At 37.0% G+C, this 26,923-nt stretch overlaps 1 protein-coding gene, 2 non-coding genes and 1 pseudogene across 3 annotated transcripts in view; 1 reads left to right on the forward strand and 3 right to left on the reverse strand.

Moving 5' to 3' along the window:
- Positions 1–5,165: 5,165 nt before the first annotated feature.
- Positions 5,166–26,923, reverse strand: part of PANK3 (pantothenate kinase 3) — a 30,874-nt gene continuing 9,116 nt past the window's right edge. The window contains exons 2-7 of the mRNA NM_024594.4: positions 25,317–25,669; positions 22,684–22,937; positions 20,560–20,736; positions 18,064–18,187; positions 15,703–15,828; positions 5,166–14,292 (exon numbers count right to left, since the gene is read on the reverse strand). Coding sequence (NP_078870.1) covers positions 14,242–14,292; positions 15,703–15,828; positions 18,064–18,187; positions 20,560–20,736; positions 22,684–22,937; positions 25,317–25,669 — 1,085 coding nt within the window. The 3' untranslated portion in view covers positions 5,166–14,241. The remainder of the gene's footprint in view (positions 14,293–15,702; positions 15,829–18,063; positions 18,188–20,559; positions 20,737–22,683; positions 22,938–25,316; positions 25,670–26,923) is intronic.
- SLC2A3P1 (solute carrier family 2 member 3 pseudogene 1) lies at positions 9,165–10,324 on the reverse strand (annotated as a pseudogene).
- MIR103A1 (microRNA 103a-1) lies at positions 17,567–17,644 on the reverse strand. The gene has a single exon (NR_029520.1). It is a non-coding gene; the product is annotated as a microRNA 103a-1 (primary transcript).
- On the forward strand, positions 17,575–17,636 carry MIR103B1 (microRNA 103b-1). The gene has a single exon (NR_031721.1). It is a non-coding gene; the product is annotated as a microRNA 103b-1 (primary transcript).

Here is a 26,923-nt window from a genome sequence, read left to right on the forward strand (position 1 = left end):
GTGCACATGTAACTTAAAACTTAAAAAGTATAATAATAATAATTTTAAAAAAAATTAGCCAGGCATGGTGATGCGCATCTGTAATCCCAGCTACTCGGGAGGCTGAGGCAGGAGAATCGCTTGAACCAGGGAGGCGGAGGTAGCAGTGAGCTGAGATCGCACCACAGCACTCCATCCTGGGTGACAGAGAGAGACTTTTGTCTCTAAATAAATAAATAAATAAAATAGCATATTGGAAATGAACCCAAGAAAAAACAGAATGTCAATAATTTAGTTTGACTTGCTTGCCTAGAATGGGTCAAACCATAAATTTCATAATCAGGGTGAGAAGAGAATTGAATTTGTTGACACAAGTATAAATGTTTATTTTGTATCTTTGTAGAAGAGCTTTATTGAGGTATAATCAATGTACAATACACCACACATATTTAAAAGACAATTGGGCTGGGTGCCGTGGCTCATGCCTATAATCCCAACACTTTAGGAGGCTGAGGTGGGCGGATCACCTTAGGTCGGGAGTTCGAGACAGCCTGACTAACATGGTAAAATCCCCTATCTACTAAAAATACAAAAATTAGCCCGTCGTGGTGGCAGGCACCTGTAATCCCAGCTACTTGGGAGGCAGAGGCACAAGAATTGCTTGAACCTGGGAGGCGGAGATTGCAGTGAGCTGAGATAGCGCCACTGCACTCCAGCCTGGACCACAGAGAAAAAGAAAAAAAAGGACAATTTGATGAGTTCTGCTATATATACCCGCCCATATGAAAGTATCACAGTGTAATGAATACATCCACCACACCCACAGGTTTCCTCCCTGTCTTCCTCCAGCTCCTGGACCCACACAACCAAAAAGAAGGGATACTTTCAACAAATGATACTGAAACAACCGTAAATCCACATGCAAAAAAACAAAACAAAACAAAACAAAAACCCTGAACCCTTACCTCATACCATACACAAAGATTGATTGATTATAGGCTGAAAGATAAAAATTAAAACTACAAATTGCCTAGAATAAAACAGGAGAAAATATCCATGATCTTGATTAGGCGAAGATTTCTTAGGACACAAAAAGTGTAAGCATAAGAAGCTGGACTTCAACAAGATGAAGCTCTGTTCCTCAAAATAGTATTAAGAAAATAAACAGATAAGCCATAAATTTGGAGAAACTATTCAAATATATATCCAACAAAGGACTTCTAACTAGAATATATGAAGAACTCTTACAAGTCAGTAACAAGACAACTCAATGAAAAATGGGCAAAAGATTTTGTCTTTATAAAAGAAGATATATATGAAAGGCCAATAAGGATCTGAAAAGATGCTCAATGTCATCAGTAATCAAGGAGACACAAATTAAAAGCACAGACAGACCATATGACACACAGGTAAGAATGGCCACAATTTAAAAGACGGACAATACCAATTGTTGACATGGATTCAGAGCAAGTGGAACTCTCAGACACTGCTGGAGTGAATGTAAAATGGAACCTCTTGGAAACTGTTTTCCATTTTCTTACAGAGTTACCATACAATCCAGCAATTTCACTATTTATCCCAGATAAAAACATAGGTCCACCCAAAGACTTGCATGTAAATGTACAAGCGAATGGATAAACAAATTGTAGTATATTCATCCAATGGACTATTAATGAGCAGTAAAAAGGAATGAAGTACTGATAACAATATAGATTAACCTCAAAACCATTATGCTGAGAGGAAGCAGACCCAAGAGTACACAACACAGCAAATCTATAGGGACAGAAAGTAGACAGTAGCTCTATGAAGTCTAGGGCTGGGAGAGAAAGAGAGATTGGGAATATCTACTGTATTGGTCCATTTACATAAAAACTCTAGAAAAGACAAATTTTATCTAGTCTACATAAGACTTTTTATGTAGTCTACATATCTACATAAAAACTCTAGAAAAGACAAATTTTATCTAGAGCGAATCAGTGGCTGCTTACAGATGGGGATGGGAGGGGACTGACTAAGATGGAGGAAGGGAACTTTTTGGAATGATGCAAATACCTTGGAGTGGTGGTTACATGGGTGTACACATTTATCAAACTTATTTAAATGTACAGTTAGAATATTAATGTATAAGCCATACCTCAATAAAATTGATTATAAATAGGTCCAAACCCAAAACTAAACCAAAATCAGCAAGATTAATTACAAATTCACTGAAATCATTTTTGAAGTAATAAACTTTGCAGGTTTGTCCCGAAAACCTGCAAAGGTGCTTTAGGAAATCTGAAAACACAAGGTGTCAGAATATTTTATTCAAACTGTCAAAATGAGACAACTAAAAAAGCTGCTATATGACGTGCAATTGTCTCTCTATCCATGGAAGATTGGTTCCAGGAACTTCTGCAGATACCAAAATTCATGAATGCTCAAGTCCATTATATAAAGTGCGTAGTATTTGTATATAACCTACACATCCTCCTATATGGTTTTTTTCCCCTTCTGAGTCTGCTTGCTAGGGAACTCCTATATACTTTAAATTATCCTTATTTTTAATACCTAATACATTGCAAATAGCTGTTATACTGTATTTTTTACTTGCATTATTTTTTAAACTTTTATTTTAGGTTCCAGGGTGCATGTGCAGGTTATACAGATTAACTCATGTTACAGGAGTTTATTGTACAGATTATTTCATCACCCAGGTACTAGGCCTAGTACCCAATAGATATTTTTCTGATCCTCTCCCTCCTCCCAGCTTCCACCCTCAAGTAGGCCCCAGTTTCTGTCATTCTCCTTTGTGTCCAGGTGTTCTCATCAAGCTTCCATATATTATTTTTATTGTTGTATTATTTTTTGTTTCAAATGTTTTCAATTCACAGTTGGCTGAATCTGTAGATGTGTAACTCACAGATATGGAGGGCCAAGTTACTTTTTTCAAGTTCAGCTGCTTGAATTCTTTTTTTTTTTTGAGATGGAGTCTCGCTCGGTCACCCAAACTGGAGTGCGGTGGCACAGATCTAGGCTCAGTGCAAGCTCCGCCTCCCGGGTTCATGCCATTCTCCTGCCTCAGCCTCCCAAGTAGCTGGGACTACAGGTGCCCACCACCACGCCTGGCTAATTTTTTTGTATTTTCAGTAGAGACAGGGTTTCACCGTGTTAGCCGGGACGGTCTTGATCTCCCGACTTCGTGATTCACCCGCCTGGGCCTCCCAAAGTGTTGGGATTACAGGAGTCAGCCACTGCGCCTGGCCAGGTGCTTGAATTCTTTTAGTGGTATCATTTAATGTTTTGTGTTTTTTTGTTTTCAAAGAAATCTGGGTTGGCTGGACTCCAAACTCTTGCTAGAAGAAAATGAGGAAAATGGGCTTAAATCAAAAAGAATATGCCTTCATAGTTTTGGTAATTTTTGCTACTGTTTCCAGAAACTGTAAAGGTTATGTTTAAAGCCCTGGCTGGGGATAAGCACTTACTTACCTAAACATATGGTCAACTGCACTTTTGGGGTATTGTTAACCTCTGGGTAACATTAAAAACTATCAGAAAGTACCAATTTTCTATGAAAAGGATGTAAAGTTCCAGAAGCTAGTCAGGTTTTCCAGGTTTACTTTAGGGAAAAAGTCAAATCTTAAACTCCTCTCCACCCACCAAAACCAGATGTATAGGAATATCTTAAAATAGGAACTTATAGTATTACCATAGAAAATGATCAATAGATTTTTAAATGCAGAAATATTAAAGTTTGTTCAGTACACAATACACTCATTAAGGACTATATCATAGAAAGTAGACATCCTGCTTTCAAAATTTATTTTTTTCGAGACAGAGTTTCGCTCTGTCGCCCAGGTTGGAGAGCAGTGGCACGATCTTGGCTCACTGCAACCTCCACCTCCTGGGTTCAAGCAATTCTCATGCCTCAGCCTCCCCAGTAGCTGGAACTACAGGTGTGCACCACCACACCCAGCTAACTTTTGTAATTTTAGTAAAGATGGGGTTTTGCCACATTGGCCAGGCTGGTCTCGAATTCCTGGCCTCAAGTGATCCACCTGCCTTGGTTTCCCAAAGTGCTGGGATTGTAGGTGTGAGCTACTGCTCCTGGCCACTTTCAAAATTTATATAGCACTGTGTATTGACTCCAGTACAGACTTTTCCCTCCTTGGAAAGTTTATTTAAATGAAAGACTTAAGTGTGTAGCCTTGAATGTATGCTCTTTAGGAGCTTATTTCTAAGTGCTTGCGACAGCAGTACTTCCTACATTTGAATAGCTAAACTACACCTCAAATCTCTTCCATACTGCATCATGTTCTCCTTTAGTCCAGATCTTAGATTTTTTTCATCCTAGTTCTTGCTAATTTTTTTTAAATAAAAGATATGTACTTCACATGTCACATGGTAGTCATGTTCACGTTTTCAACTATTCCTCTACGCTCCAAGTAAAGACAATAATATGATTTGAAAACTATGCCTGGAGCCACGACAATCATACAATTTGAAAACACAGCCATCAAGTTTCCAACTTACTGCCTCACATATTAAGATGATTTTTTTAAACAAACTTAACAGGCGATGGATACTCCATTCTCCATGATGTGCTTAATTCACATGCATGCTTGTATCAAAACATCTCACATACTCCATAAAGCCTGTAATCCCAACACTTTGGGATGCCAAGGTGGGTGGATCACTTGAGCCCAGGAGTTTGAGAACAGCCTGGACAACATGGCGAAACCCCATTTACACACACACACACACACACACACACACACACCACACAAACAAAATGAAACAAACACCTAACCAACAAACAAAACCATAGCCAGGCATGGTGGTGCATGCCTGTAGTCTCAGCTAGTTGGGAGGCTGAGGCTGCAGTGAGCTATGACTGCACTACTACACGCCAGCTCAGTCAACAAAGAGACTATATATAAAAACAAAAACAAAAACAAACCCAAAACCAAAAAGCCAACAACATTCATTTCTGATGCAGGATAACATGGTCTCAGGGGGGCAAGTTTTCACATCTTAATAAATGCAAGCCCTGAATTTCATCAATGCCTTCTCTGTGCCAGGTACTGGGGATCTAGAGGTGAACAAGACTTTACAAAGTTCTTGCTCTCACAGAACTAACCACAACCTTGCATTTAATCACAGTGAAAATGTGGGAATATGTAAGTTAAATAATAAAAAGGCACACATAGTAAACAACTTAGATAATTTATTTAGAAAGTAGAAAATAAAAAGTATGATTCTAACATCTATTTAGAATATGAACAAAATTAGAAATGGTTAAACTACAGAAAAAAAGGCAGAGAAACTGAAGTTGGCTTAATGGTTATCCAATACAAACAAGCAAAACCCAAGTTACCTTCATGCAAATAAGCATTAAGGAAAAGAATACGGGAATGTTTACAGAATGCGCCATGGCAAACATTTTTCAAATTTACATAAGATACTGTACATAAATGAAAAAATAAATTAGGTAATTTACAAGAAATGTTTTACAGATTACAATAGGCTATAACTTAGTTTATTATGAATAAAATTTATGGCACATCATACATTTTTACATCACAGATTCAGTGTTAAAAGAATTCAGACATGATAAAGCTTAGACTTGACAAGAATGATGTAATAGAATGAGGCAACTGAAACTGAAATGGCATGTGTAAGTAAAATTAATCCCCAAATTAAAGGATTCCTTAGATTGGGACATAATAACATCTTCTGAGTACACTTTGGTCAATAACTGGTCATTAAGATAAACGCCATTCAATTTTAGTTAAAAAATCAGTTTTTTGCTGTAGTTTAAATAAAAAGTAAAAGCACACAGTGTATAAAAAATAATAAAAACCATCTTAATATTGCTTACATCCTAATACTATTAGTTATATTCGGGGCAAGCAGACTAGGATATTGGTGTTACTTCTATAAAGTTACCTTCTGTTTCTAAATGCTGTAAACTAAACTAAAACAGGTTACCCAGAAAAAAGTGGCAAATTCCAAAATGGCTTAATACCTGTGACAACTATTGACTGAGCCAGGTACAACATCGATGAAATTCAGACATACAATGTAAAGTTGAAATAATCCCAAATTATTTTACATTATTTATGTATACTTTACAAATAACACAAATATGGAAATGTTTTCTTGGAAAGCTGTTGGAACTGTAAGCACTGCAACGTATGAAAGAAACATATTTAGCAATAAAAAATTTAATAATATCCTACAACTGAATTAGTTGCATATTTATACCATTCAAAATCTTGATTTTAACCTCATTCACTCCTTTGAAAAATACATTCCTCTTTTGTTCTTTTAAATGCAAAATTAGTGGCAGTTGCAGCAAAAACGCCGAAATTCTATAAGAAAAAAACTGATTTACCCCAAACATATCATTCAGCACAAACTGCGGTACCTGAAATCCCAGTATCAGCTCATAGTACATTCATTCGTTCATTCATTCATTCATTCATTTTTGAGACAGAGTCTTACTCTGTTGCCCAGGCTGGAATACAGTGGCATGATCTGCCCTCTGCCTCCCGGTTCAAGTGATTCTCCTGCCTCGGTCTCCCGAGTAGCTGGGACTATAGGTGTGTGCCAACAAGCCTGGCTATTTTTTGTATTTTTAGTAGAGACATGGTTCTTCCCACATCTATCCCCACTCACAATGATCAGAAATAAGAAACAGCTTTTTAAAAAGGGCCACTAAAAAATCCCAAATATATGTAACACAAACAGTCCGACTTAACAATGGTTTGACTTATGGTTTTTCAACTTTATAATGGGGCAAAAGCAATACACATTCAGTTAAAAACTGTACTTCAAATTTTGTACTCTGATATTATCCTGGGATAACGATATGTGGTACAATACTCTTATTTGAGATATTAAACACTTCATTATAAAATAGGTTTTGTATTAGATGATTTTGCCCAGCTAAAGGCCAACGTTAAGTGTTCAGAACACATTTAAGATAGGCTAGGCTAAGCTGGGATGTTCAGTAGGTTAGGCGTATTAAATGTATTTTCAACTTACGGTATTTTCAATTTACAATGGGTCTACTGGAACATAACCCTATTGTAAGTCAAGGAACATCTGTATTCTAACATTTATGAATAATTTTTTGTACAATGAAAAAGTCATAATGCCCATATAATTCTGAAGTTAACACAGTAAAAATTCCAGATAACCTTTACAGATTTAAAAGTACAAACATTTTAATATACATATAAAACCTTTCATATTACTTTAAGGTATATCTACCTGGCCATTACAGGCAATCACATATTAAGAGAGAATACCATTCTACTGGTTTGGTGAGAATCCAATACCTAGTACCTATCAAATATATACCAATAAAAATTATGTAATAACTTAAAATTATATAAGCACTAAATATTAACTCCAAAACATGACACCAAATACCTGAAAAAAAATTTACTTTAGTTATCTCAAACACAGCCATGAATGAAGCAATTTTCTCAGGACCCTGAAAACTGACTCATTTCCCATCATAACAAACCAACTCCCTCATTTTACAAATAAAAATAATGTTCAAAGAGGCAAGACCAGTGACCAACACTACTTCTAATACAATACCAAATATGACCTCACATTCACTGAATATGCAGGAATAATGCAAATAAGTAGTGACTGCTTTGAGAAAACATTTGAATTTTTTGGAAGTGGAAATTAATTATTCAAAATTTAGATATGTCAGAAAAGCTGGGATGATTGATTTTCACACCACCATTATCGTGAATGGGCTATCCAAATACTCTTAACAGAAGGAATTCCTTTTTTAGGTCTTTAGTGATTATTACTAGGCTCAGTAGAAACCAGAAGACAATTATTCTCTTAAATATTGAAAAGAGGCAGTAATATAGATAAAACACACTATTTTCTGAGATTATCTGATGATAGAAACAAAGTTGGCTGAATTCCTTAGGTATTAGAATAAACATAAACTTGATCATGGATACCTCATGGCAGATCACTTTAAGTGAGGTCAGAGAGTATTATCACAAAAAGATAATATATTTCTAATGTTTTGTTCACACCCACCACAAAACAGTTAAGTTAAATTCAAAATAATGTACACTCATTTTCATTATCCTCTATCAGTTTTCACATGGCTTTAAACAGTGAATTTCTAAACTACATTCTCAAATGCAATAGACTAAAATGCATAAAGTGCTCAACAGAAAAAGATACAATATGAAAAAACTTTGCTTATAATATACAGAGTGGTTATAAAGAACATATGGAAATTACTATCCAGTTAAGCTTTCCATCCAAGAAAACAACCTTAAAAATCAAGGCAAGATGGACTACTCTTTGAAGGCAAGAATACTGCTGGAATAAGAGGAAAACCTTTCCACTTTGTGCTGCATCATTCTGCTTATAGAAACAGTCTTTAAGGGACTGGTATTTACATTATAGCAATCACATGTACACTCAAAGGTAAAAGAAAAAAAACCTCAGAAATTTTTATAGAGTCTAATATTTGGCAAATAATCTGAACCACTTTAAGGGCTTTCAATTACCATGTATATTACTGGCAATAGTACTGACTTTACCCAAACTAAGAGACCACCTAATTTCCAACTTTATTTAGAGTAGCTGAGCAAGGAACTGCCATGTCAAATTACATGGCAAGTTTACTAATAGTCTTTGGAAAAGATGAGTGTAGAACTTAAAAGGCACTAGTTCTACAAGTCTCTAATTAAAAGGCAATCTTCTCGCGGGGTCAGGGTGGTGGTGATGGGAAATTCTATACCTTGTGTTGTTTGCCTAGCCTCACAGCAAACTGACAGTGGTTGCATTTGAAAAAGTTACCAGATTTTTTAAGAATGAAAATTAAGCCCAAAAGTTACAAAGATTTTTCTGTGTACAGAGGTCTACAATGCATTAAAGTTTCTTTTTAATCCTTAGAAATTGGCTGCTCAAAGTCCAATTTTAGAAATGAAGTCAATGGAATCATGAGATCTGCTTCAGTGAAGTACGTATGTATTTTGGGTTGTTGGGAACTATGCCCAGTTGACTCATACTCTCTCAAATGTGGTCTACTGGAAAGATTCAGGTCCCCTAAGAGAACTTGGCATAGTACCATGGTCAGATGGTAACAGAAATACATAAGCATGCCATGACCCTAAAGCAACAACACACTTAAACTAGATAATAATTGTTCAGGAAGAGCAATCCAACTAGAAAGTTGGAGGTCCAGTTGGAGCAACCAGCCACTGCTATTGCAAACTGAAGAGTGTGGCCACAGTATTCCAGGGAACGGAGTCTGGTCCAACTTCAGAGAAGGCCACAAAGACCAAGATAGCCCCACTACAGACAAAGCTCATCCCACCATACTCATCCTTTAATAACAAAGAAACAATCATGAGGACAGAACAAAACGCCATGCCTCAAGACCTATCATATGTAAAGTCCTTCCTGCCCTTTCAACCACAAACAGAGAGACTACAGTCAAGAAGATAATATTAACCACTCCTGCACTAATCTATAGATTGGCTTCTCAACACCTGCATCCTTGAAGATTCTCATTGAGTAATAGAAGACAACATTGATTCCAGAGAGCTACTGAGAGAGCTGGAGCATGATGGAAATGACAGTGGGTTGTTGGTAGCTGGGTACTCTAAAGAGCGCCAGTGTAGTGACTTGCTTTTCTTGTATCATCCTAGCACTCTTATCTCCTAGATGTCCTGGGACACATCCTGAGTCCCCTACAATTGCTGAAGGATCTCATTAGTACTCTTCCTTTCTGTTAATGAGCAAAAACTTACGACTTCCAGGGCAAAATGGAAGGGCTACACTTTATAGGACAGCTGGAAGGATGGTAAAGCCCAGTATCACTGGGCATAGCTCTTCAGACCCCAAGATGAACTCCAGACCAAAGATCTGGATCTCCAGAATACCAACGACGTCCAGCTGGTTGAGAGCACTAAAGGTACCCCAAAGGGGAGTAGGCGAGATCTCTCCAATGTACATGGGCACAAAACTTGTGCAGAGTCCGCATTACAAGCCAGTAATCTAGTGGCCCAGGATCAGCATTTCAACCAACTCAGCTTGTCTGCAGAATCCCATAAGGCAACCAGTAATAGCCAACAAATTATGATAAGCATTGAACTGCACCTGCCAAAGTGGTTGACAAAGAGTGCAACAGAAAGGAGCCAATCATATCACCATTGGGGAAGATGGCCACAGACAAGGGCCAGGGGGACATGAGCAAAACCTCAGAGGGAGAGTCTTCTGACCTCTCTTTCAAAGTGTAACTGAGAAAGTCCTGTATGACTGTCTCAGGAGCACTGATGACTCCAATGTTGTAGCCAAACTGAAAAGAAGAGGTGGGGTGACCTGGGTCCCCATGGCCCTTATCTAATTCTTTTCAAATATTCAAGAAGAGCTAGGAGTGGGATTCCAGAGACACTTCTTCCAGCCAACAAAACCTTCAAAGTGTCCTTGGCAGCAAGTTTTCAGGTCCTCAGTAATGCTATAAAACTCACTCATCATTACAGCATCTCTGCATTCTTGCTTTACCACATTTATCTCAGGCCCAAACTTAGTTATTTCTTTGTATTACATCTGAACCATCAAAGCTAAATATTTTATTCTATTATGAACAACGGCAACAAAACCACGTTTATCCCAAATAAATGTTACAGGAATCTAATAGATGAGCTATTTTGAAACTTTGTGGGAGTCTGAGGCAATACTGCAGAATTACTAAAAGGATCAGTGTTTAGTAAACAAAAGCATAATAGTTCCAAAATTTGTAAAGCCTTTTACCTGGGAATTTATTCTCTCTTTTGTATTTTTGATAGTGATTACAAAGTTTTTCAGATTTTTATGTTGGCAAGTTAACACTGGAGGTCCAATAGTTTAGTGAAGTTGTTTTGAGACTCTTGCTAATGGTTTAGGAAGTAGAAATGCTTGGGGATAAAATTGACTTCTATACATTACCAGTAAATCTAGATGTACTTTAAAGAGCTTAAAAAATTGTTTACATTACACAAGGTAAGTATCACTATGGGTTTTTTTGTTTACAGACCGCAGGTTTACTTAATAGTTTTCAGTAGACTATCAAGAGATGCATGATAAAGACATTTCCCCATGTAGTTTTCAAATTTTATACTCAAGTCCTTATATTCGATTACAGGCATGAGCCACTGCACCCAGCCTCAATTGTTTAAAATTCAGTTTTCTTTACCTGAAGATATGAATGTATGAATTATTAGAGTGGTTATTTAGGAGGAAAAGCGTGTAAAGTTAAGTTTTTAGAATTTAGACTGTTTGAAACTCTGAATTCATGTCAGTCAGTAGCCATTTTAAAACCCTACAATGACTTCATGTTCCTTGCTTTAATATTTCCATTGTAGTGACTAAATATTGGAGCCAAAATTCCATTAGTTCAATTTATTTTAAAAGTTTCTGATTTGTATATCTGTACAGATAAGAATCTTAATTGAATGACAGTAACTACAAGTTTTATACCTGTGGCAAATACTGTATTAGCATCTATAGATTTAGGGCAATCTTTAAGAAAAAATGGAATGGTCAGAGTCTAAGTTATTTCATCACTGTACTTTGGTTAATGTGAACTATGATTCATATATTTTATCCTTTCAAACTGAAATTACCTGCTAGAGTGAGCAACCATCTCACCACTGTGGCTCTTTAGCTTTTCCCATATGTAATCTAGAGGTACTGGAATAATAAGAACACAAAATCATAATGAAGGCTGCCAAAGATTATAATTTTTTATTAAGATCTCGAGTAACTCCCTGTAAGCTCACTGTGGTAAATAGATTTGGTTCTAATACCACAATTCCTCAAAGCTCTATGTTCTTAACGGTGCTGTCTTAATAGAAATAAAATGTAAACCATGTGTGATTTTATCTTTTCTAGTAAGCACATTTAAAAATAATTGGAAACAGATGATTCTTTTTTTTGAGACAGAGTCTCACTCTGTCGCCCAGGCTGGAGTGCAGTGGCACAATCTCAGCTCACTGCAGCCTCCTCCTCCTGGGTTCAAGCAATTCTCCTGCCTCAGCCTCCCAAGTAGCTGGGACTACAGGTGCGCACCACCATGCCTGGCTAATTTTTGTATTTTTAGTAGGCAGGGTTTTGCCACACTGGCCAGGCTGGTCTCGAACTCCTGACCTCAGGTGACCTGCCCACCCTGGCCTCTCAAAGTGCTGGGATTAGAGGCGTGAGCCACTGCGCCTGGCCAAGATTCATTTTAATTGTGTATTTTTCTTTAACCCAATATTTCCAATGTTAACATTTCAACATGTAATCAATACAAAAAATTAGGAGATATTTAACCTTTTATTGTCCTTTAGAGCACATCTCAATTTGGACTAACCATATTTCAAATGCTCAACAGCTACATATGGGTAGTGGCTACTGCACTGGACATCGAAGTTCTAGAACTCTCTCTTACAAATGAACACTATCACTGTCGTTGAAAACTTTCTTGAGATAGTTTATTTTATACAAACAAACTGTATTTCTTATTATTCCTGAAATATCTCATATTGGCATCCTGCCATTTCATTGTAGTGCCTATCATTTTTCCATTGATACTGATAAAGTTGCCTAAGACACAACTTCCTACATAGAGGAAATAAGAGGAACAAACCCCTTTTGGACAGAATCTATTAAAACTCATTCCACTATCCCTATGTACATAAATAACATTGCCTCTGCTGAGTGGAATTTGCATTCGTTACTTCAAAATTCAGACTCATCTACCTTTCCAAGTTAGACAGTTGGGGAAAGAACTTCCTAAATCTTAAGGTTGAAGGCAGAGGGCTCAACCCCACTCCAGATTCAGGCAAGGGGAATAGGAAAGAAAGTGCGAGATAAGAGCATGGTGGCCTCTTGGGGTCCCTTGATGGGGGCTGTTGGGAAGTGGAAGGCATTCTTTTAAGGGGATAAGAAGCAAATGGAAGACTTGCTCCAACTCTAGAGTTTTCAGAGAGTTAGAGGAGGTGGAGAGATTTACTCCTGCCATGGATCATATGCATTTCTACCATCAACTCCTGGTTTTGCAGTATTTTTATAAATGGAGTTTGGACCTTGGTGACACTCAGCCTCTCTTCCCCTTTTCCTATGTTGCTCAATCTTCCTTTCCCTCCTAGGTTCTTACACATTTCAAACCCTTGCCAATAACAGTATTTTAGTTATCAGGTCTCACCATTCCCTCTGGTTGTTGAGCCTTTGGATAAAAATCCACATGGCTATGGAGTGGGTTTTGTTGGAAAAAGTGACCGTCCTCTAACTGCACCTCTATTTCTGGCTCCTCAAACAGCAAAGGGTAATAATAAGGCATGGTAGAGGTTTTCCCATTTTTCAGTGACTAGACTGTGAATATTTACAGATGAATTTTCTATTATTAATGTTATTGTGGTTGTTTTAAAATAAAAGTTCTGAATGTATATATGACCAAAACAAACAAACAAAAAGAGCACAGTGAACTCAAATCATATTCCATTACAATAGTCCCAGGACTTCATTAGACAGACTCCCAGTAATTAAGCCTCCAATCTTAAAATGTTAAACATTTCAACATGTATTGACTAATTCCTGTAAAATACAGAAAGTGCAACATCACCAAACGTGCATTTCCCAGGATTCATTTTAGAATTCTCATGAAAATTTAATAATAGTATTTCAGTTAATTATGGCATTTGAGAAAAAGATACTAATGGGGAAAGATCACATACATGCTTTGGGTGATACGTTAAAAAAACCTACAATAATTAGTAGTATTGCCTTAACATTTCTAAAATCACATAAAAATGATCATCTTTGATTGCCATTTCAGTAATTTTGAATACAGGGTATGTTATTTTCTGCTCACTAGTAATCAAAACACATAAAACAGACTTGTAACAAATATTCAGAGTCGATTATTTTCATAAGCTAAACAGTTCCGATACTTTAAGATTTGTGTTTGAGCATACAGTACTGCAATGTTGGCTACATAAAATAAAAAAATCTTTTTAAGAGGAAGCTCAATAATCAGAGGCTGTATTGCATTTAAGGATTTAACACTGGCTATATACAAAAGGGAAAGCATTTCAATGAGAAATACTTCACGTTACCAAGTTCTCTCCTTTAATATGGCAACATTCAGCAGCTTATGCTACTCTTTTATCCTTTGGTTCCCAGTGACAAACAATGCAGTAATAATGCCTCTGGTTTTAGTTCCTCTTGGATGACATTTATTAGCAGAGAGAGAGACCTGATGCTTTAGCTGAAATTTGGCAGCCCAAGAAGTGCACCAACTGCTCCAAAGTAACCCTGTGTAATTTAAAAATAACTGTTATGTAGTACAGCTTTTAAGTTAGCATATAATATTAACCACTTGAGAACACACAACTATGCACAATCTATTTGTTTAATAATATTTGGAAACCTACCAATTTCTGCGTTGTTAGCTATTATAAAAAATTTTCTGAATCTGTATTCTTGATGTCTACACACCTTTGAAATATGTATTTTTATTTATTATTATTATTTTTAGAGACATGGTCTCACTATTTTGCCCAGGCTGGCCTTGAATTCCTGGGCTCACATGGTCCTCCCATCTCAGCCTCTTGAATAGCTGGGACTATAGGCTCACACTGAAATACGTATTCTAAAAGTGTGGCCTTTAGACACTAAAGCTTCCAGGACTGTAACAGCAATTCTGCACCCTCTCCCCTTTACTTAATAAAACAAACTAACTTCCTGTGGCTGTGCCTGACACTCTCACTGCATGCCATGTGGAATTGCACAAGGGCACACCATTCTGATTTGTATTGTGTGAGCAGTGACAATGAGACATGGAAGCTTTTTTTTTTTTTTTTTTTTAGACAGTCTCGCTATCACCCAGGCTGGAGTGGCTGGAGTGCAGTGGCGCCATCTCGACTCACTGCAGGCTCCGCCCCCTGGGGTTCACACCATTCTCCTGCCTCAGCCTCCCGAGTCGCTGGGATTACAGGCGCCCGCCACCTCGCCCGGCTAATTTTTTTTTGTATTTTTAGTAGAGACGGGGTTTCACCGTTGTTAGCCAGGATGGTCTTGATCTCCTGACCTCGTGATCCGTCCGCCTTGGCCTCCCAAAGTGCTGGGATTACAGGCATGAGCCACCGCACCCGGCCAAGACATGGAAGCTTTTAAGAGCAGAATAATTTGAATCTCTGTTACTAATTTGTAATGATACAGCCATTTGACTTTGATCACAAAATGATTCAAGTTAAGTTAATCCAAAACATTATGTGGACTGATAATTGCTCAGATCAGAACTTAACTGCATGTAGTAAATGAATACAAAAAAATCTGGGGGTGCCTAACAGGTTATTGTAATTCTCTTCCCCACAACTGAAACTGAAGCGAAGGAACCAATATTCTACTACTTAAGGCTGGGCATGGTGGCTCACACCTATAAAGGATTGCTTGAGGCCAGGAGTTCCAGACTAGCCTGGGCAACAAAGAGTGATCCTGTCTCCACAAAAAATATTAATAAAAATAAATTTTCTGGGCACAGTGGTGCATACCTGTGGTCCCAGCTACTTGGGAGGCTGAGGTGGGAGGATTGATGAGCCCAGGAGGAAGAGGCTGCAGTAAGCCATCATTGTGCCACTAAACTCAAGCCTGAGTGACAGAGCAAGACCCTGTCTCTTAAAAAACATGCTATTAAAATTCACAAAAAACATTTTCCTACCATACCTCATGTTCTAGAAACAATGCTTTTAGTTGACCTTTTGACCAGTAATCCAGTGCATATGCCAAAAGTTTCATTGAGAGGGTATTGACACGTAAAAAGTTTCCAACAAAGACAACTCTGTTTATTTTCTAAAAGAAAAGAACAAAGAAAAAACTTGTAAAAATAATAGATTTTACAATATAAAAGGTTTCTAAATATTTATTTAAAATTTATTTTAAAATGCAAAAAAACACAACTACGCTTTATTAGTATAACACCTACTACATTCCTGGCATATAGCTGTATAATCCTGAATATTTAAAAATTAGTTCTGCACACATCATCCAAAATCCACAAAATGTGTAACACCAAGAGAGAACCCTAAATTATGGACTTTGGGTGATGATGATGTGTGCACAGGGTTATGGACTGTAACACATGATCACTCTACTATGGGATGCTGAGGATGGAAGTGGGCTGTGTGTGTATGGAAGGTGGTATATGGGAACTCACTGAGCTTTCCACTTAATTTTACGTGAACCTGAAACTGATCTAAAAAATAAAGTCTACTTTTAAAAAAAGGTTCCAGAAAGACTCTAGCAGATGATTTCAGGTGAGATTTGTTTTTGAAAATGGCCAATAAATAGCCCCCTTACAAAGTCATTTGGAGACACATTACTGATGTGATTAAAAAAAAAAATCAAAACATGGTAAGTACTATAAAATGCATTTAGTTGATAAGTAGCAAACTTGGCCCACACATTGCAATGCATGTTGAACAATGACATGCAACTGTGGATTCTACAGAATTGGAGAGTAATACTGACTGGGGTACTGGCATGTGCATTCCCCTAGGATTCTAGCATTCTTTCTCCGTCCCCTGCCTGATTCATCAAATCATTCTCTCTCTGCAAAGATTCCACACTAATTTGGTTTCTTAGATTATCTCTATGATTAGGAAATCTTACAAAGGGGAACTGGTGTTTGAATCACCAGAAAACTTATTTCGACTCTCACACTATACTGACTTTTGAGTAGAAATCTTTGTACATAAGTTGGGATACTGTAAACCATGGCCTAAATTATTGTTAACTCAATTGGTCAGTGGAAATTTAGACATAAAGGGCTAAGAATAAAGGTCTCAAATTGTTGTCAGCTCCCAACATGGTCTACTAGTAACTCCATCAACCAACTAACACTTAAGTTTCTAAGTTATTAAAAAACTGATGAGACCAAGTTCTGGATTTAAATACAGAATAATTCAGAGGATTTGCATATTTGTTCTCTCTGCTGGAAGCTTTCTCCCCAAAATGTCTACATGCACAGTTTCCCCCTCACCTCCTTCAAACCTCTGCCTAAGAATCACATTTTCAATAAAGCTTTCCTTTAACCACTCAATTACTTAGCAATTTGTCCTCTACCACTCTCTGCCCTATTCCCAATCCTCTTTATCCTGTTTGATGGTCTCTTTTTAAAAAAATAGCACTTATCACCTAATACACACTACACAATTTACTTAATATGTCACTAGAATGAATGCAAGCTCCACAAAGCCAGATCTTTGTTTTCTTCATTAATATGTTCCAAATACCCAGAACGATGTCTGGCATCTGGTAATCAGTAAATATTTACTCAATGAATAAATGAATGAATGAACAAATGAAGGGTTCCTTCGAAAAGCGTACTTCCCAATCCATTTAAAGTATTTGATATTTATAAAAATTAAACGGGCAAATATATCTATTATTATATAAGGAAGCTAGAATTAAATATATATATTCTCTTCCAAACAAAGAATCCCAACTATATGGTCAATCTAACAGTATATCCTTTTCACACTTTTCTTGTAACAATAAACACCACTCAAATATCATGAAGAACAGGTCTCAATGCCTTCATAGCCCTGTACAATGCTGCTTGATCCATATGCAACAAGGCAGCACTGTAAAGAAGCCGAGGGCAGTAAGAAAACTTCCAAGAATTTCACTAATCAAATGCAACATTAAGCACTGGTGGTATAGTGGTGAGCATAGCTGCCTTCCAAATGCAAAATTAAGACTAAAAAAAATGCTTTCACAAAGTATCTCAAAATGTCTTATGCTTAGAACTTTCTTTTACATCCTCAAGGGATTTAGGTTGTGTTTTTCTGAAAAAAAATTCTGAATAAATTTCTCCTATTTCAATTTGAATTATCTGCTACTTTCTTTAAAAGTAATATAGCAACTGGATACGTAACATATATACCTAATGAGTCTTGGCATTTAATGGGTTACATCTCAATCCCAGAGGCCTCCTTAGGGAAAGTGAAGAAGCCCTGCTAGGTGTATATAGGACTCCAATTCACATTTTTGATAATTCAAGTTTTGTGTTTTTTGTTTTTTTACCTCATTAACAGCACACATTCGTGCCACAGAACCAATGTTATTGGTGATAGTAACTAAAGTAGCTCTTGCCAGATCTTCTTTACTAACAGATTCTCGCTTCTCCTTATAAATCATATTCCCAAAACTGCAGAAAAATGAAAAATAAAGTCAAATCTGCTGATAAAAAGCAACATTTTACGTATTAACAGATATATCTACAACCTGGATATTTTTATAAAATTAGGACCAAAAAGTAGAAACACATAGGGATAAGATCAAAACAAACTAACAAAAAAAATCTATGCAAGAGTAAAGTAATACCTTTCAAAGAATTAAGGTTAAAATGACATCTCAAAAAAAGCATAGTTAGTTATTATAAGAAAGCAAAGATTACCAAAATATCTTCACTTAAACCTGATTCAAAACAAATTAGCCAAAATTACAAAATGTTTCCAAAAGTATCTCAGCTTTAACTTCAAATTCTTTTTCATTCAGTCACAAGAAACATTTATGACATACCAAGCTTTGTGCTGGAGACAGATAGTCCCTCAAACAGTGAATTAGTCTAGTGCAGCACTGTCCAATAGAAATAAAATACGAGTAATATATAATTTCATATATGTTCTATTAGCCACATTAAAAAGGTAAAAATAAACAAGTGAAATTAATTTTAATTGTACATTTCATTTAAGCCAATATATCCAAATATCATCAATTCAACATGTGGCACTCATAAGCCAAGTGCCTTACGTGGCTAGAGGCTACTGTAATGGACAATGCAGGCCTACATACAAAAGACAGCAAGAGAAGCGCTAACAGTAACAGGGAAAAAATCCAAACAAAGGCTAACCCCAAACAAAGGCTAACCTTGGAAATACAAACAAAAAAATATCTTTTATTACAGTGGTAAGAGAAAAAAGTTAAGAAGGTATGAGGCAGGGCTTTCAGAGCAAAAGGACCAGAAAAAGCCAGAAAAAATGAGAAGAAAAATCTTAGGCAGAGGCAACTAAAGGTTAAAGGCACACAGAAATGAGAAATGAAAACATCTATGAAATCACAAGATGTTTGGTCGGAGTGAAGCGTCTATGCAAGGGAGAGGCAGGAGATATTACTGAAGAGTGAGACAAAGTCCACTATCAAAGGGCACTGGATTCCCTGACAAAGAACTTGGGGTGCACAAGCAACAATGGTTAGGAAGCATAATGGGAGACAAGACTGATAAACAACAGAACAGTAAATTTAAAATATTTAGGAATCAATTTAAAAAGCCATGTATGGACATATTTGGAGAGGCCTTTTTAAATGTGTGAAAGGCACAAAAGTAGCCTTAAACAAACAGACAAGCTAAGTTCTTCAACAGCAAGACTTACTATAAAGATATCATTTGTCCCTAAGTTAATATGTAAACTTACTGAGATTCCAAAAACATTTTTGTAATAGAGAAAATGTTTGCCAAGTTCATACAGAAAATCAAGCAAAGGAGTGAAACTAGCCCTTCTAGAGATTAAAACATACTTTTTATGCCTCTATAAAGCTGAAAGTATAATGCTGGTACATCAACAGAATGAAAAGCCAGCATATGTAAAAAAGCCATCTCAAATCAGTGAAATAAAGATGGATTATTAGACATTAGGGCCTTCTGGAAAAAAAAACAAAAAACCTGAAAAATGAAAGCATGATCTGTAACTCACAAAATACCCTAAGATAAACTATAAGTAAATCAAAGATTTAAGTATAAAAATACCACCATTAACATATCAGAAGAAAATAAGGGTTTATTCCTTTATATATTTGGAATGTAGAAGACTTACTTACTATGAATCAATATCCAGAAGCCATAAAAGAAAAGACTGATAAATTCAACTGTATAACAATCCAACAGAAAAGTAGAACATGAACAATAACTCACAGAAAATAAAATATGCAAGGCTCTTAACCCCAGTGTTGGTAGGAGAAATGTAAATTAAAATTACATTAAGATACCACTTCTCCATCTGATTAGCAAAAATGCAAAAGTTAGCACTCTACTGGTGAAACAGGCACTTTCATTTACCGCTGGTGAGAGTGAAAAACAGTACCGCTCTTTTGCATAATTAACAATATCTCAAAAATGCATTTGCAATCCAACTTTTGGGAATTTATCCTACACCTGTATAAAATAAGGTCAACAACATGTAAAGATTTCTATATGGATACTTTAGAGTATATATAGTATGCCATATAATGGTAGATTACCTTTTGTATATGGGGAGAAAAGTAAAAATATGTATTTGTATTTGCATAAACACTGGAAAGACACTCAAAAATTAAAAAAAAAAAAGTTTCTTACAAGGTGCACTCAGGGTAAACTTCTTAATGTATACTTAATTTTTAAATGACATCAATGTTCAAAACTTGGAACCTAAACTGGATAAGAGAAAGCACCCTTACAACTTTCTGTTACATTGCTTTCCAAAAACATAAGCAACTTGAATTACTTAACTTCTGTAACTTAAATAACACAAATGTTAAACTTACCTAGATGCTACAGCCCAACCTGGCAAACCAAATCTTTCATAATCTCCTCCATAAATATCACGGACCAGCTTGTCAGCTTGTGTGCTATCACCTTTGGATGCCATTTCAAGAGCCTCTTCAAAACTTTCACAGCCAGTCAATAAACTGCATAAACCCAGAAAGGTACCCCCTCCAAGGCTAAAGAAAATAAAGAAACTTGCTAAGTTGCATTTATACATTATATTCTTTCTCTAAAGTAAAAGGGTGGATCATTCATGTATTCAATGAACACACAGAAAAAAAACCTATGACTAATGCTGAGTGCTGAAATAACATAACGAAGGCAACAAAAATTGTTTAGTAAAACCAAACTTGTTAGATCAAAGAATAAACCAAAGAAAAAAATCACTTGGTGGAAACATGAGGAAAGGAAAGACCTATTAAATCTCTCCCAAAGTCTTCACCTAATACCTTACACTCTGTAGTTACCAAAGATAAATTGTTGTGTGTGCATTAAAAAGGAATAAATGTTAAAAATCAGTACCATATTAATTACAAAGAGAAAATCTGTAATTTTTCTTTTGAGACAAGGTCTCACTCTGTCCCTCAGGCTGGAGTGCAGTGACCATGATCATAGCCTAATGTATCCTTGAACTCCTGGGCTCAAGCAATCTTCCTGTTCCAGCCTCCGCAGCAGCTAGACTACAATGCACACTACCACACTGGACTAATATATATGTATATATTTTTGTAGAGATGGGGGTCTCACTATGTTTCCCAGGCTGGTCTTAACTCCTGGTCTCAAGCAATCCTCCACTTTGGCCTCCCAAAGTGTTAGAATTACAGGCATGAACTACCATGCCCATCTTTGTAATTTTAAATCGTTTCCAAGAAATGATTTTGGGAAAGGCTTCTTTACTTGGCCTGACATGGATGAAATCAATTCAATATGATACACTAATATTTCACATGACCTACACATAAATACAATGAGTAAATTTATGTCCAGCTGGCCAACATGTCAATTACAGAAATTTATTTGCTTCTATTATTCTTCTGGATATGCTCACAGAATGAAATCATATCTAATTCCTAAACTGTAAACCTTTGCTCCCTAGTCTCATCTAAATTTCTAGCAAGTTCTACCCCTGAATCACTGTTGGATTTAGTTAACAGACTGAACTTCTTTTAGAGTTAACCGAAGAAGGCAATAGCAGTGTACAATTCTTTGGCATAGAGAATTACAACAGAGGTGAACTTTTAACCACCATAAAAATAAAGTACTAATTAAGTATAATTTAAACAGAATTACTACTTTAAAATTAAAATGAGTTTTTTTCACAAATTAATCTAAAGTATTTGAAAATCTTTCTTCCTTAAACTGGAATCTTCACCTCTCTGTAAAAGTTGATAAAATACATAAAAGAATCATGAGTTTTATATCTTATTTCTCATTCGTATTTCAGGTATTACAGAAAAGTATGTGGGCTATTTGGGAACATTAATGTTATCACAAAAAGAAATCACATTAATTCATCCTATAAGAATAAATTACAATGTTCCCCAGTACTGCAGTTTAAGGGTTTACATATATTAATATCCATTAAAAAGTCAAAAAATAGGTAAAGAAGAAAAATGCTTTGGAAAAAAGAACAAAATATAAACATAATAAAGTTTAAAATCAATAGAACACTGTTGCTTCCAAGTAAATGCTCCAGTTAAATTCTAGAAAAAACGTTACCAGACTCATTCTAGATAAAAATTCACTTTACCATTATGGAAATTTTGATCCCAACTGATGCTGACTAATAAACATTTAATAATTTCAGTTTGAGTCTTGACATACACATCTTATAAAAATACATTATCTGTTGGCTGGGAGCAGTGGCTCATGCCTGTAATCCCAGTACTTTGGGAGGCCGAGACAGGCAGATTGCTTGAGCTCAGAAGTTCAAGAGCAGCCTGGGCAACATGGCACCCTCTTTCACTTAAAAAAAAAAAATATATATATATATATATTTTTTTTTTTTGCTGTTGTGCAAATACATGCTCTTTTACTGGTGAAAATGACATTATTATACTGATTTCATAACTTCTGTGTATAAAACAATGTGAATGCAGCAATACAACCAAAAAGGTCACTACCTTGTCCCAGTCACTCGTTTATAGTTGTCTTTGGAATGGACTGCTAAAATACTGACTCCTGAGCCAATGTTCACTACAAGCAGTGGATAGGGATCATCCAGGTTAAAAGGCATCTTTTGGCATCGCTCAGGTTCTGAGGCATTAGCAAAATAATAGCACTCGGCTTGTCCATTGAAACTGACAGAGTCTATATACAGCAAGCCCTTTACAAGGCAGTCAAGTTCATCCAGTTTGTGCAGGTGGAGGTTTCCAATCTGTTAAAACAAACAAACAAAAACAAAAAAGGATGACATTCAAAAACACTCAACTATATGATTTTCCTGTATTACTTTACAAAAATTAAAAATGGTCTATGACCCCCACATTTTCATTTTGTTTCATGTCAGAATCTCTTTCGGGATTTCATCTAGTCCACTGGTCCTCAGTGAGGGTGGTATCACCTCACTGCTAGTTTTCTAAATGATGGGGAGGAAGGAAGGACCAAACTGACATTTAGTGGGCAGGGACTTGTGATGCCAGACATCTTTAATGGGTGTGACATTTCTGCAGACCAAAAAATTATCCCATCTATGCATTATCTTTGAGTGTTCTGCCAGTCATTTTTATAGTGGCAGTAGGAAAATTATTTATAATTATCTGAGGCTAGAGAATAACAAAGTTATTTTACCTATCTGTCTGTGTATACAAATACAAAAGTATTCGTCCTATGGATTCAGTCACTCCATTCATTCATTCATTCATTCATTTTTGAGACAGAGTCTAGCTCTGTCACTCAGGCTGGAGTACAGTGGCATGATCTCGGCTCACTGCAACCTCCACCTCGTGGGTTCAAGCGATTCTCCGCCTCAGCCTCTCAAGTAGCTGGGATTGCAGGCGCCCGCCACCACGCCTGGCTAATTTTTGTATTTTTAGTAGAGATGAGGTTTCACCATCATTGGTCAGGCTGGTCTCCAGCTCCTAACCTCAAGTGATCCGCCCACCTTGGCTTCCCAAAGTGCTGGAATTACAGGCGTGAGCCACTGTGCCCAACCCACGTAGTTTTAAATATATACTAAATTTGCTAGGAATTGAACCACCACATAAAGCAAGGGAAAATTGTACTTCTTACTGTTTGGAATTTTACCAAGTGTTTGTTTAGCATGTTGGAGGGTCATGTCACCAACAGCAATGCCATTTATGGTATCTTATTTTCCAACAGAACATACCATATCAATCTGGCATGTGTAGCTTTGGTATTCATGATCAATCTATGCATAGGTGCAAGCATATAACTACTTCATGATGTCCTCTGGAATGATCATACTGTTTGTTAATCTACCCACGGATAGATTAATTTCTGATTAATAACTGATACCTTAATCTCCTGTCTTTATATTATAGTTTGAGTACTAGTTTGAAATGATTACATTCATCATTTCAGGTTAGTAAAAAGCGTATTATAAGACACCGTTTATAAAACATTGCAGCTTAGATATCACTTCCTCTGGGAACCTCTTCAACTCTCTAGCTGTTGTTACTCCTCTGTGTTCCCAAGGCACCTCTTTTCATACAGTACTACAGATCTTTACCTCAAATTATATGGGTCTCGCTTCTATGAGCCATTTAAGTTATTTATATTCCTTCTGAGACAGGGTCTCACTGTCACCCATGCTGGAGTGCAATGGCTCAATCACAGCTCACTGCAGCCTCAATCTCAAGAGCTCAAGCAATCCTCCCACTTCATCAGCCTCTTGAGTGGCTGGGACTACAAGCACAGGCCACTATGCTGAGCTAATTTTTTTATTTTTTGTAGAGACGGGGTCCCACTATATTGCCCAGGCTGGTCTCCAACTCCTAGCCTCAAGTGATCCTCCCACGTCAGCCTTTATATTCCATTAACAGTATTTTCTTATGATTTTCAGAAATTAAATTATTCACATTTACATTTTCAAGAAAAACAAATTTCAGTGGTCCTAAACAGAGCCATTCTTTATTCTAATAGAAAAGACTAGAAGCTTGGCAAACCACTCTTTGAACTCTCATTCTAATGGAAAAGACTAGAAGATGGCAAACTGCTAACAGCACATAACTCAAACCAATACTCATAGTTCTCCTGCCAGATCCATTCAAATCACCCCATTTGACACAGGAACATGGCAGGATTAACAGCATAAAAACAGAAAAAAAAGGGTAACAGATTTTCATTCAGGTGTCCATTATACTAACCAAAAGACATTGGTTTCCAGACTTAGGGTTTGGGAAGGAGATGGCCCTGGAAGATTAATATTATTTGAATAAGTAATATTCCAAAAACCATGTAAATGTAGGACAATAGTGAAAATAATTCAAGCTTCATTTATATCTGGCTTTGTACACTGCCAAATTCATTAAAGTCCCCAAATCCCCTTTTTATTGTAGCTTTGTAGTACAGCCCTAAACAAGTTTTACCAAATATTATGTGCAACAACATGACCAAATCCGGGCAATTTTTACTCATCTCATAAACGTGTTTAAAACGCCCCAAGTGAAAGGCAACCATGGATACATATTTCCCACTGCATGTGCAGGGAGAATTAAGGAACATGCTAGATGGAAACCTACTCTCATATTTAAAAACAGGTATCAATTTTCAGTTTTGAGTAAAAGATACCTACTGTGCGAAAATCTTTTTCAAACTTGTAAGCACCACCTCCTGTAGCACATAGCACCGTCTGCAATGTTGAGAAGTTTTTATCTCTTCCCATTTGGATAAAAGTAGGCAGGTCCTGGGTTGGAAACCTGATAAAGTGCAAGTTCCCTCTTCGGCCAAAAAGTGTTAAATCTTTCAGTTCAAGGTGTACATCCCGAATGCCGGTGGATCCATATGCCACGTTAGAAGTCAAATATTTCCGAATACTTTTTAAACTCTCAACTTCTTCTTGCTCTTCCTCTGCTGTGATATCAATAGGTTCAAAGTACGAGAGCTTTACTAGAGTTCCCCCAATGTCCATGCCAAACCATGGGAAAGCTATGGGAGGAAAAAAAAAAAAAAAAAAAAAAATATATATATATATATATATCCATTTTAGAAACACAAATTAAAAACCAGTTAGCCACAAACTTCATTTACTCTGAATCATGCATTCAGGCAATAATATGTATTGGGTAAGACACATGTTCCATGTGGAACTTACCTTTTTCCCTTCAAAGTTTTTTTTTTTTTTTTTTTTTTGAGATGGAGTCTCGCTCTGTTGCCCAGGCTGGAGTGCAGTGGCGCGATCTTGGCTCACTGCAAACTCCGCCTCCCGGGTTCACGCCATTCTCCTGCCTCAGCCTCCCGAGTAGCTGGGACTACAGGTGCCCACCACCACGCCTGCCTAATTTTTTTTTTTTTTGTATTTTTAGTAGAGACGGGGTTTCACCGTGTTAGCCAGGATGGTCTCGATCTCCTGACCTTGTGATCCGCCTGCCTCTGCCTCCCAAAGTGCTGGGATTGCAGGCGTGAGCCACCGCGCTCGGCCCTTCAAAGTTTTATTAATATATTTTCTAAAAACGTATAGGGTGCTTAGAGTTGACCCAGGATCTTTTAATTCCTGGCCTGGTAGGCAACCCCTTTTCATTTACTAAATACCATGTGCTCCAGGGATGAGAAAAAATTCAGATCATTCTTTTTTCAATAAATAGGTCAACACTAAGGGCATGAAAATCTTTGTTTCTATAAGCATTTTAATACAATAAAACTGGCCTATAATCACTTCAAGTAACCCAGGAGAAAAGCACCTCCTTAAAAAGCAATTCCTGCCAGGTATGGTGCTCACACCTGAAATCCCAATACTTTGGGAGGCTGAGGTAGGGGGGATCGCTTGAAAACAGGAGTTTGAAACCAGCCTTGGCAATATAACAAGATCCTGTCTCCGCAAAAAATTTAAAAATTAGCTGGGCGTGGCAGCATGCACCTGTAGTCCCAGTTACAGGAGGCTGAGGCAGGAGGATCACTTGAGTCCAGGAGGCTGGGGCTGCGGTGAGCCATGTTTGCACCACTACACTGCAGATTAGGTAACAGAGTGAGATCCTGTCATAAAAAACAAACCCAAAAAGCAATTCCCTTCAGTAAATAATCATTATCTCCAGGCCGGGCGCGGTGGCTTACGCCTGTGATCCCAGCACTTTGGGAGGCCGAGACGGGTGGATCACGAGGTCAGGAGATCGAGACCTTCCTGGCTAACACAGCGAAACCCCGTCTCTACTAAAAAAATACAAAAAAATTAGCCGGCCGTGGTGG

Source organism: Homo sapiens, chromosome 5 (assembly GCF_000001405.40).
Source record: "Homo sapiens chromosome 5, GRCh38.p14 Primary Assembly".
NCBI lineage: Eukaryota > Metazoa > Chordata > Mammalia > Primates > Hominidae > Homo > Homo sapiens.